Source organism: Homo sapiens, chromosome 19 (genome assembly GCF_000001405.40).
Source record: "Homo sapiens chromosome 19, GRCh38.p14 Primary Assembly".
Taxonomy (NCBI): domain Eukaryota; kingdom Metazoa; phylum Chordata; class Mammalia; order Primates; family Hominidae; genus Homo; species Homo sapiens.
The window spans coordinates 12,636,476-12,646,511 of record NC_000019.10 but is presented as its reverse complement, the minus strand read 5'-3'; the positions used below and the strand labels follow the sequence as shown (position 1 = coordinate 12,646,511).

At 53.9% G+C, this 10,036-nt stretch overlaps 1 long non-coding RNA gene and 1 pseudogene across 2 annotated transcripts in view, besides 5 other annotated features; both read left to right on the top strand.

Annotated features, from left to right (window-relative positions):
• Positions 2,021 to 3,220: an enhancer, noted in NCBI's record as "BRD4-independent group 4 enhancer chr19:12754106-12755305 (GRCh37/hg19 assembly coordinates)". NCBI's record gives its function as "activates an origin of replication core promoter dependent on BRD2, P300/CBP, MED14 and CDK7 cofactors, and independent of BRD4, by STARR-seq in HCT116 cells {active_cell/tissue: HCT116}" and the evidence as "EXISTENCE:reporter gene assay evidence [ECO:0000049][PMID:35650434]".
• On the top strand, positions 2,552 to 3,300 carry RPL10P16 (ribosomal protein L10 pseudogene 16; annotated as a pseudogene).
• The window catches only part of LOC105372279 (uncharacterized), a 10,006-nt gene continuing 3,337 nt past the window's right edge, over positions 3,368 to 10,036 (top strand). The window contains exons 1-3 of one of the 2 annotated variants that reach the window (XR_007067142.1): positions 3,368 to 4,056; positions 6,110 to 6,447; positions 9,072 to 9,236. This is a non-coding gene — a long non-coding RNA (uncharacterized LOC105372279). Of the gene's footprint in view, positions 4,057 to 5,815; positions 6,448 to 9,071; positions 9,237 to 10,036 lie in introns of those variants that run through there. The other variant, XR_001753869.3, reaches the window with a different exon arrangement.
• Positions 5,963 to 6,483: an enhancer, noted in NCBI's record as "H3K4me1 hESC enhancer chr19:12750843-12751363 (GRCh37/hg19 assembly coordinates)". NCBI's record gives its function as "activates a minimal SCP1, AML or CMV promoter by ChIP-STARR-seq in naive H9 embryonic stem cells {active_cell/tissue: H9 hESC(naive)}" and the evidence as "EXISTENCE:reporter gene assay evidence [ECO:0000049][PMID:30033119]".
• Positions 5,963 to 6,506: a biological region, named in NCBI's record as "H3K4me1 hESC enhancer GRCh37_chr19:12750843-12751363".
• Positions 6,287 to 6,406: an enhancer, noted in NCBI's record as "active region_14062". NCBI's record gives its function as "activates an Ori minimal core promoter by ATAC-STARR-seq in GM12878 lymphoblastoid cells {active_cell/tissue: GM12878}" and the evidence as "EXISTENCE:reporter gene assay evidence [ECO:0000049][PMID:35858748]".
• Positions 6,437 to 6,506: an enhancer, noted in NCBI's record as "active region_14061". NCBI's record gives its function as "activates an Ori minimal core promoter by ATAC-STARR-seq in GM12878 lymphoblastoid cells {active_cell/tissue: GM12878}" and the evidence as "EXISTENCE:reporter gene assay evidence [ECO:0000049][PMID:35858748]".

The following is a 10,036-nucleotide window of genomic DNA, read 5'->3' as shown; positions in this document are numbered from 1 at the left end:
GGTCGCTCTGTGACTGAGTGTGGGTTTTTTTTGTCTGTTATTTGCTTGTTAGAGGGGGACAGAATTTATGACCCAGAGCCGGGTGTGGTGGCTTGCTCCTGTAATCCTAACAACTCTGGAGGCTGAGGAGAGAGAATCACTTGAGCCCAGGAGATCTAGACTAGCCTGGGCCACAAAATGAGGCCCTGTATGTACAAAAAATTTAAAAAATTAGCTGGGTGAAGTGTCTGTATTCCCAACTACTTGGGAGAATTGCTTGAGCACAGGAGGTCAAGGCTGCAGTAAGTGATAATCACACCACTGCACTCCAGCCTGGGCAAGAGAGCCAGATCCTATCTCTTCGTGTGTGTGTGTGTGTGTGTGAGGGACAGAGTCTCCCTCTGTCGCCTAGGCTGGAGTGCAGTGGCGCAATCTTGGCTCACTGCAACCTCCGCCTTCCGGGTTCTAGCGATTCTCTTGCCTCAGCCTTCCGAGTAGCTGGGACTACAGGCGCCCCCCACCATGCCTGGCTCATTTTTGTATTTTTAGTAGAGATGGGGTTTCACCATGTTGGCCAGGCTGGCCTCAAACTCCTGACCTCAAGTGATCCACCTGCCTTGGCCTCCCAAAGTGCTGGGATTACAGGCATGAGCCACTGCAACCAGTCTGGATCCTATCTCTTGAAAAAAAAATTAAAAATTAGAAAATTATCCAGATAGGATGGCGTGCATTTATAATCCCCAGCTACTACTTGGGAGGCTGAGGTGGGAGGATTGCTTGAGCCCAAAAGTTTGAGGCTGCAGTGAACCATGATGGCTCCACTGTACTCCAGCCTGGGTGACAGAGTGAGACCCTGTCTCTAGAAAAAAAAAAAAAAAGTAGGCAGTGCGTGGTGGCTCACACCTGTAATCCCAGCACTTTGGGAGGCTGAGTCACATGGATCACAAGGTCAAGGGATTGAGACCATCCTGGCCAACATGGTGAAACCCCTTCTCTACTAAAAATACAAAAATTAGCTGGGCATGGTGGCACACACCTGTAGTCCCAGCTACTCAGGAGGCTGAGGCAGGAGAATCACTTGAACCCAGGAGGCGGAGGTTGCAGTGAGGCGAGATTGTGTCACTGCACTCCAGCCTGGTGACAGAGTGAGACTCCATCTCAAAAAAATAAATAAATACAAATAAAAAGTTTTTAAGTGTTCTGGGGTCAGTTTGCAAGCACCAACAGCATATGTTTCTTAGGCCCCCTCTGATGACAAGGACTGGCCCAGGGTGGACAGGGAAGCCCAGGGAGGGTGGTATCATGTTGGTCCTCTAATGTTTCCTCTGAGAACCCCTCCAATGGGCCAGTTAGCATGGGCCACCTAGGGATGCCAGGGTGGGGTGCCAGGGGACACTCTGCTGTGGTCCCACTTGGGGCATGGTCACCAGATGTGCTCTTTTTCTTTTTTTTTTTTTTGAGATGGAGTCTCGCTCTGTCGCCCAGGCTGGAATGCAGTGGTGCGATCTCGGCTCACTGCAAGCTCTGCCTCCCAGGTTCACGCCATTCTCCTGCCTCAGCCTCCCGAGTAGCTGGGACTACAGGCGCCTGCTACCATGCCCGGCTAGTTTTTTGTATTTTTAGTAGAGATGGGGTTTCACCGTGTAAGGCGGAATGGTCTTGATCTCCTGACCCCGTGATCTGCCTGTCTCAGCCTTCCAAAGTGCTGGGATTACAGGCGTGAGCCACCGCGCCCAGCCCAGATGTGTTCTTTTTCAAGTTTCCTTCTTGACGGAGGGCTGGGCCAGCTTGTGAGGCCTGAAAAGGGCTCCCTGCACCTGTCTGCCGTATTGGACCTGTTACTGGAGGTATCACCCCCACCAAAAATATTTCTAAGTCCCTCTCCTATGGTAGTGACTGGCCTGGGCTGAGTAAGGAGGACTGTGGAGTACTCTTCAGGCTCAGCCCTGGTCCCACATGCGTCCCTGTTTTAACATGTGACTCCTCCGCAGAAAACTTTTATAAGTCCCTCTCCAGGAAGAGAGATTGGACCTGGCCAACCAGAGAGGCCTGGAGAGGGTGACCTGAGTTTGCCCACAGCCCCATGTGGGCTCCTTCATAGGAGGCTCTGAGTGCAAAGTTTCCTGTGTCCCAGCCAGTGGTAGGGACTGGTCGCAGCCAAAGAAGGAGGCCAGCAGAAGGACCACAGGTGGGCTGTCATCCTGCAGAGGCCTCTGATTGTGGGATGTGCCTCCAGGAAATATTTGTAAGTCCTTGGGGATGGGGTGGGGATAAGGAAACAGCTTAGGTCAGCTAGGAACCATAGGGCAGAGCAACCCAGGCTTAGTTTTGGTCACACATGGGGCCTGGTTCCTGGATGTGCTCCTTGAAAATTTGTCTAAGTCACCCTCTAAAGACAAGGATTATTACAGGTGAGCCAGAGAGGCCCGAGAAGGGCACCCCAGCATAGTTGTCCTGCTGCATAGAATCTGGCCACAGGATGAACCCCCTGAAAACCTTAAAAAGTCTCCGGATTGAGACCATCCTGGCCAACATGGTGAAACCCCATCTCCACTAAAAATACAAAAAATTTCTCTTTCCCTTCAGTGTGCCACTGAAGATCCTGGTGTCGCCATGGGCCGCCGCCCCGCCCGTTGTTACCGGTATTGTAAGAACAAGCCGTACCCAAAGTCTCGCTTCTGCCGAGGTGTCCCTGATGCCAAGATTCGCATTTTTGACCTGGGGCGGAAAAAGGCAAAAGTGGATGAGTTTCCGCTCTGTGGCCACATGGTGTCAGATGAATATGAGCAGCTGTCCTCTGAAGCCCTGGAGGCTGCCCGAATTTGTGCCAATAAGTACATGGTAAAAAGTTGTGGCAAAGATGGCTTCCATATCCGGGTGCGGCTCCACCCCTTCCACGTCATCCGCATCAACAAGATGTCGTCCTGTGCTGGGGCTGACAGGCTCCAAACAGGAATGCGAGGTGCCTTTGGAAAGCCCCAGGGCACTGTGGCCAGGGTTCACATTGGCCAAGTTATCATGTCCATCCGCACCAAGCTGCAGAACAAGGAGCGTGTGATTGAGGCCCTGCGCAGGGCCAAGTTCAAGTTTCCTGGCCGCCAGAAGATCCACATCTCAAAGAAGTGGGGCTTCACCAAGTTCAATGCTGATGAATTTGAAGACATGGTGGCTGAAAAGCGGCTCATCCCAGATGGCTGTGGGGTCAAGTATATCCCCAATCGTGGCCCTCTGGACAAGTGGTGGGCCCTGCACTCATGAGGGCTTCCAATGTGCTGCCCCCCTCTTAATACTCACCAATAAATTCTACTTCCTGTCCACCTAAAAAATACAAAAAAAAAAAAAACAACAACAAAAAATTAGCTGGTCATGGTGGCGGGTGCCTGTAGTCCCAGCTACTCGGGAGGCCGAGGCAGGAGACTGGCATGAACCCGGGAAGGGAGACTGGGACTCCCTCTATCACCCATGTTGGAGTGTGCTGGCCTGATCAAAACACACTGCAACCTCAGAATCCTGGGCTCAAGCAATCCCCCCGTCTCAGCCTCCCAAAGTGTTGGGATGACTTGCTTGAGCTGCCATGCCCAGCCTCTCCCTAATTTTTCTAAGCCAGCCTGTAGAGGCTGGGAATCAGCCCTGGCCATTCAGGGAATCCGTGGAGGGTGGCCCGGGCCCAGCAGGCTACCCTCTGACTGCTTTGGGCCGAGACACAAGTTGGAGTGAGACCCTGACCAGGTGGCATCTGGTCCGGTAGGGGAAGGTCCAGGTCCGGCGCAGTCCCACCGGTGGTCGGGCGCCACTTTGTGATCACTCTGATATCGTCCCCGGAGCTCGGTTGTCGCGTGTGTGGGACAAGATCCGGCCGGAGAGCCCAGGACAGTGTTCCAGGAGACCGAAGGAGATGGCAAGGTCTTCTCGGCCGGCCACACGCGGTGCTGCATAATGGACTCTCCTGAGATAGTTACTGCGGGATCCGGGGGAGCCTGAGATCATTACTGCGGGATGGGAATCTTTGAGAATCGCGGAAGAAGAGTGGCGTATGAAGGTCCCTCTGCCCTTGGAGACCGACTGGTGCCGTCGCAGGTGAATGGGGTAGGGCGCCCTGGGCTCAGCCGCTTTCCCATCTGGTGCCGGGTTGTTCACAGCATCACTGGATACATTTTCGTTCTTTTTTTTTTTTGAGATGGAGTCTCGGTCTGTCACCCAGGCTGGAGTGCAGTGGTGCTCACTGCAAACTCCGCCTCCCGAGTAGCTGGGACTACAGGCGCGGCTTTTTGTATTTTTAGTAGAGACGGGGTTTCACCGTGTTAGCCAGGGTGTTCTCGATCTCCTGACCTCGTGATCCGCCCACCTCGGCCTCCCAAAGCGCTGGGATTACATAGGCGTGAGCCACCGCGCCGGGCCTCTTTTTTTCTTTTTCTTTTCTTTTTTTTTTGAAGACAGAGTCCCGCTCTGTTGCCCAGGCTGGAGTGCAGTGGCGCGATCTCGGCTCACTGCAACCTCTGCCTCCTGGGTTCAAGCGATTCTCCTGCCTTAGCCTCCCGAGTAGCTAGGATTACAGGCACGTGCCACCACGCACGGATAATTTTTGTATTTTTAGTAGAGACGGGGTTTCACCATGTTGGCCAGGCTGGGCTCAAACTCCTGACCTCAAGTGATCTGCCTGCCTCGGCCTCCCAAACTGCTAGGATTACAGTCATGAGCCCATGCCCAGCCTACTGGAAAAGTTTTCTAGGTCCCCTTCCTGGGGCCAGGATCGCAGCCAGGGACCCCAGAGGGCACACAGCTCCTGCCCACCGACTCACATAAGGTACCGTCGCAGAAAGTGCGTCCTGAAATTTTTCCCAAGGCCCCTTTTAAGAAGGGACACTCGCCCAGGCATACAGGGAGGATGAAGGAGGGCACCCAGACCCCAGCTGCAGTTTCCATGGCGACCATTCATCGGACACCTTCAGAAAACGTCTGGAGGGATGACTGGGGCCAAACAGGGAGGGCTAAGGGTGGGCGACTTGGACTTGGTCACAGTCCTATGCAGACGCGTCTGAAGCACCTGCTGAAAACGTTGCCAATTCTGAGTGATAGGAGATAGGAATAGGGGCATGAAGAGAGGGACGGGGAGGGTAAAAGGAGGGGGATCACTGGGAGCCGCAGAAGCAGTGGCGGGGAAAGCAGGGGGAAGGGGAGGTAGAGGGATGGTTTTGATGGGAGAAGGAGGTTCTGAGTAGGATATTGTTGTGGCTTCATTCCCCTGTGGGCCTTCCCAAATGTTCCTTTTTTTTCTTTTCTCTTTCTTTTTCTTTCCCTCCCTCACTCCCTCCCTCCTTTCTTTCTTTCCCTTCCCTCCCTTCCTTCCATCTTGAATGTTCTTCTTCATTTTCTTTCCTTTTTTTTGAGACAGACTTTCACTCTTGTGGGTTATTTTTTATTTATTTTTTTTTTTGGTGTTTTGTTTTGAGACAGAGTTTTACTCTTGTTGCCCAGGCTGGAGTGCAATGGCGGGATCTTGGCTCACTGCAACCTGCTCTTCCCGGGTTCAAACGATTCTCCTACCTGAGCCTCCCTAGTAGCTGGGATTACAGGCATGCGCCACCACACCCAGCTAATTTTTGTATTTTTAGTAGAGAAGGGTTTTCTCCATGTTGGTCAGGCTGGTCTCGAACTCCCAATTTCAGGTGAGCTGCCCGCCTCGGCCTCCCAAAGTGCTGGGATTACAGGCGTGAGCCGCCGCGCCCGGCCTCTTTTTCCTTTTCTCTTTCTTTTTCCCTCCTTCCCTCCCTCCCTCTCTCCCTTCCTTCCTCCCTCCTTCCACCCTCCCTCTCCCTCTCTCTTTCATTTTTTTTGGTTTGTTTTTGTTTTTTGTTTTATTTTTCCCGCGACCGAGTCTCGCTGTCACCCAGGCTGCTGTGCAATGATGCGATCATAGCGCACTGCATCATCTCCAGGGCACATCTCTCCTCCCGCCTCGGCCTCCCAAAGTGTTGAGGTGGTAGGCATGAGGCATCCAGCAGGGCTTCATTCACATTTTCTGTCTGCCTATGGAGGCTGGGATCAGCCCTGGCCATTCAGGGAGTTCCGTGGAGGGTGCCCCGGGCCCACCAGGCCATCCTCTGACCGCTTTGGGCCGAGTGTATTACAGGTTCATGTGGGACCCGAACCAGGCGGTGTAGACTGGGGAAAGTGCCTGTCTGGTGAGGTCCGGCGGGTGTTCGAGCGCCACCTAGGGTCAGTCTGATGCCATCCCCTGAGCTTGGCTGCCGCGTGTATGGGAAGTGATCTGGCTGCAAACCGCAAGAGAGAGTTCCAGGAGGTCGCCGGCGATGACAGAGTCTTCTCGGCTACGACACGCGCCGCCCCATCATGGGCTCTCCTGAGATCGTTACTGCGTGTTGCGGGCGAGCAGTCTCTGAGAATCTCGCGGGCTGAATGTCGCATGAGGTCCCCTCCGCCCGTGGGGACTGGCTGCTGCCGTCGCAGGTGAGCGGAGTAGGGTGCCCTGAGCTTGGCCGCTTTCCCACCTGGTGCCTGCTTGCCCACAGCTTCATTGGCGTTTTCTAGGTCCCCCTGCTGGGGCCAGGATCACAGTCAGGAAGGTCCTCGGACTGCTGTGGGAAGGGCCCCAGGTTCTGCCCACCGCCAGATTGGGCCTGGTAGTTAGATGAGTCCTGAAGACACTTCTAAGCCCCCCTACACAGCTGGGGCCAGGCTGGCCCTGGAGGCTGGAGGGATTAAGTATTCCTGTGATTCTTTGTGGGCCCAGTTATATTTATCCGTTGAACAAGTTTCCAAGACCTCCTGCAGGCTGGCTAGGGATACCTGAAGAAGGCTTCCTGGCTTGGCTGTGGTCACATGCGAGGGGCCTTTTTGATGAATACACTTGAACAAAAGTTTGCTTTTATTAGAAATGGTAGCCAGTTGCGGTGGCTCACTCCTGTAATCCCAACACTTTGGGAGGCCGAGGTGGGTGGATCTCTTGAGGTCACGAGTTCCAGACCAGCCTGGCCAACATGGTGAAACCTGTCTCTACTAAAAATAAAAAAAAAAAGGCTGGGCCCGGTGGCTCACGCCTGTAATCCCAGCACTTTGGGAGGCTGAAGCGGGCGGATCACGAGGTCAGGATATCGAGACCATCCTGTCTAACATGGTGAAACCCCGTCTCTACTATAAATACAAAAAAACAGCCGGGTGTGGTGGCGGGTGCCTGTAGTCCCAGCTACTCGGGAGGCTGAGGCAGGAGAATGGCATGAACCCCGGAAGGGGAGCTTGCAGTGAGCCGAGATTGCGCCACGGCACTCCAGCCTGGGCGACAGAGCAAGACTCCGTCTCAAAAGCAAAAAACAAAAAACAAAAAACAAATTAGCCGAGCGTGGTGGCGGGCAACTGTAATTCCAGCTACTTAGGAGGTTGAGGCAGGAGAATCGCTCAAACCTGGGAGGTAGAGGTTGCAGTAAGCTGAGATTGCACCACTGCACTCCCGCCTGGACGACAGAGCAAGACTCAGTCTCAAAAAAGGATGGGGTCTTGCTATATTGCCCAGGCTGATCTTGAACTCCTGGGTTCAAGCCATATAACGCCTCGGACTCCCAAAATGTTGGGATGACTTCCCTTACCCACCGTTCCCTGCCTTCTCCACGTTTGCTGAGTTGGCCTATTGAGGCCAGGGCCAGCCTTGGCCATTCAGGGAGTTCTGTGGAAAGTGCCCCGGGTCCACCAAGGCAGCCTCTGATATCTTGGGGCCGCGGTACAGGTTAGAGTGAGACCCGGACAAGGTGGCCTCTGCTGAGGGTCGGGGTCCAATCCGGCGGGGTCTTGCCGGTGATTGGGAATTACCTGTTTGTTGGCGTTTATATTTTCTTTTCTTTTTTTTTTTTTTTTTTGAGACGGAGTCTGGCTCTGTCGCCCAGGCTGGAGTGCAGTGGCGCCATCTTGGCTCCCTGCAAGCTCCGCCTCCCGGGTTCACGTCATTCTTCTGCCTCAGCCTCCCGAGTAGCTGGGACTACAGGCGCCCGCCACCACGCCTGAATAATTTTTTGTATTTTTAATAGAGATGGGGTTTCACTGTGTTAGCCAGGAAGGTCTCGATCTCCTGACCTCGTGATACGCCTGCCTCGGCCTCTCAAAGTGCTAGGATTACAGGCGTGAGCCACCACGCCCGGCCTGACGTTTATATTTTCTCCCTGGAGCTAGCCTGCTGCATAGGTGGGATAAGATTCTGCCATGATGCTCAGAATCCAGTTCAGTTCCTGGAAGCCAGGGGCAATGGCAGGATCTTCTCTACAGGCGCCAGTCTGTAGACAGGCTCTCCTGAGATTGTCACTGCAGGACGGGGGTGAGTGATTTCTAAGAATTCTGAAGGCCTACTGGCCCGCGGAGGTCCCCTCCGCTTCTGAGGACCGCCTTGAGCGGTCGCACGTGACTGGGGTCGCCCTCCTGAGGACAGGATCGCAGCCAGGGAGGCCCAGGAAGGCACCTTGCTCCTGGCCTCCAACTCACGTGGGGCACCGTCGCTGAGAGTGAGTCCTGAAATCTTTTCCAAGTCGCCCACCCCGTTTTTTTTTTTTGTTTTTTTTTTTTGAGAGAGTCTCGCTCTGTTGCCCAGGCTGGAGTGCGGTGGTGTAATCTCGGCTCACTGCAACCTCTGCCTCCTGGGTTCAAGCGATTCTCCTGCCTCAGCCTCCCAAGTAGCTGGGATTACAGGCGCCCGCCACCACGCCCGGCTAATTTTTGTATTTTTAGTACGGACGGGGTTTCATCATGTTGGCCAGCTGCTCTGGAACTCCTGACCTCATGATCCACCCGCCTCGGTCTCTCAAAGTGCTGGGATTACAGGCGTGAGCCACCGCACCCAGCCCCAACTCTCCCTCTTAAGAGGACACGGGCTCAGGCTGACAAAGAGGCTTTTAGGATGCCACCTAAAGCTCAGCTGCAGTTCCCACTGTGCGTATTCATCAGACACTTACAGAAAACCTTGGTGATATGGTTTGGCTGTGTGTCCCCAACCAAATCTCATGTTCAATTTTAATTTCTAATACCAGGAGAGGGACCTGCTGGGAGGTGATTAGATCATGGGGGCGGCTTTCCCCTTGCTGTTCTCGTGATAGTTCTCAGGAGATCTGATGGTTTAAAGATGTGCGGCACTTCCCACTTCGTGCTCTCTCCTGATCCCTCCTGCTTCAAGTGAAGACTGACTCGATCCCCAGTAGCCTTCCGCCTTGATAAGTTTCCTGAGGCCTCCCAGCCTTGCTTCCTGTACAGCCTGCAGAACTGTGAGTCAATTAAACCTCTTTTATTCGTGAATTACCCAGCCTCAGGTAGTTTTTTTCTTTTTTCTTTTTTTTGAGACGGAGTTTCACTCTTGTTGCCCAGGCTGGAGTGCAATGACGTGATCCCCGCTCACTGCAACCTCTGCCTCCCGGGTTCAAGGGATTCTCCTGCTTGAGCCTCCTGAGTAGCTGGAATTACAGACGTGAGCCATGACGCCCGGCTAATTTTTTTATTATTAGTAGTAGAGATGGGGTTTCACCATGTTAGTCAGGCTGGTCTCAAACTCCTGACCTCAGGTGATCCACCCGCCTCAGCCTCCCAAAGTGCTGTGATTACAGGCGTGAGCCATCGCGCCCAGCTCAGGTAGTTCTTTATAGCAGCGCGAGAATGGAGCAACACACTTGGGAAGGATCATTCAGGCTAAACAGGGAGGTCAGGGGAGGGCGACTTGCACCTGGTCACAGTCCTGCACAGGCGCATCTGAATCACCTGCTGGAAACGTTTCCAGTTCGGCGGGGCCGCACAGGGGCAAGAGGTGATAAAGTGGGGAAGAGGAGACAAAGTGGGGAAAGAGGGGAAAAAGGGGGATGAAGGCTGGAGGGGGCCAGGATGGGGCGGGGCAGGGTAGGTCTTGGGGAGGGGAGGGCAAAGGGTAGGGATGGCCTTGATGGGACAAGGAGTTTATGATTAAAATGCCCTGGTGGCTTTATTCCCCTGTGCGCCTTCCAAAAATATTTCTTCTTATCTCTCATTTTGTTTTTACTTTTAAGAGACAAGGTTGGCCGGGCGCGGTGGCTCACGT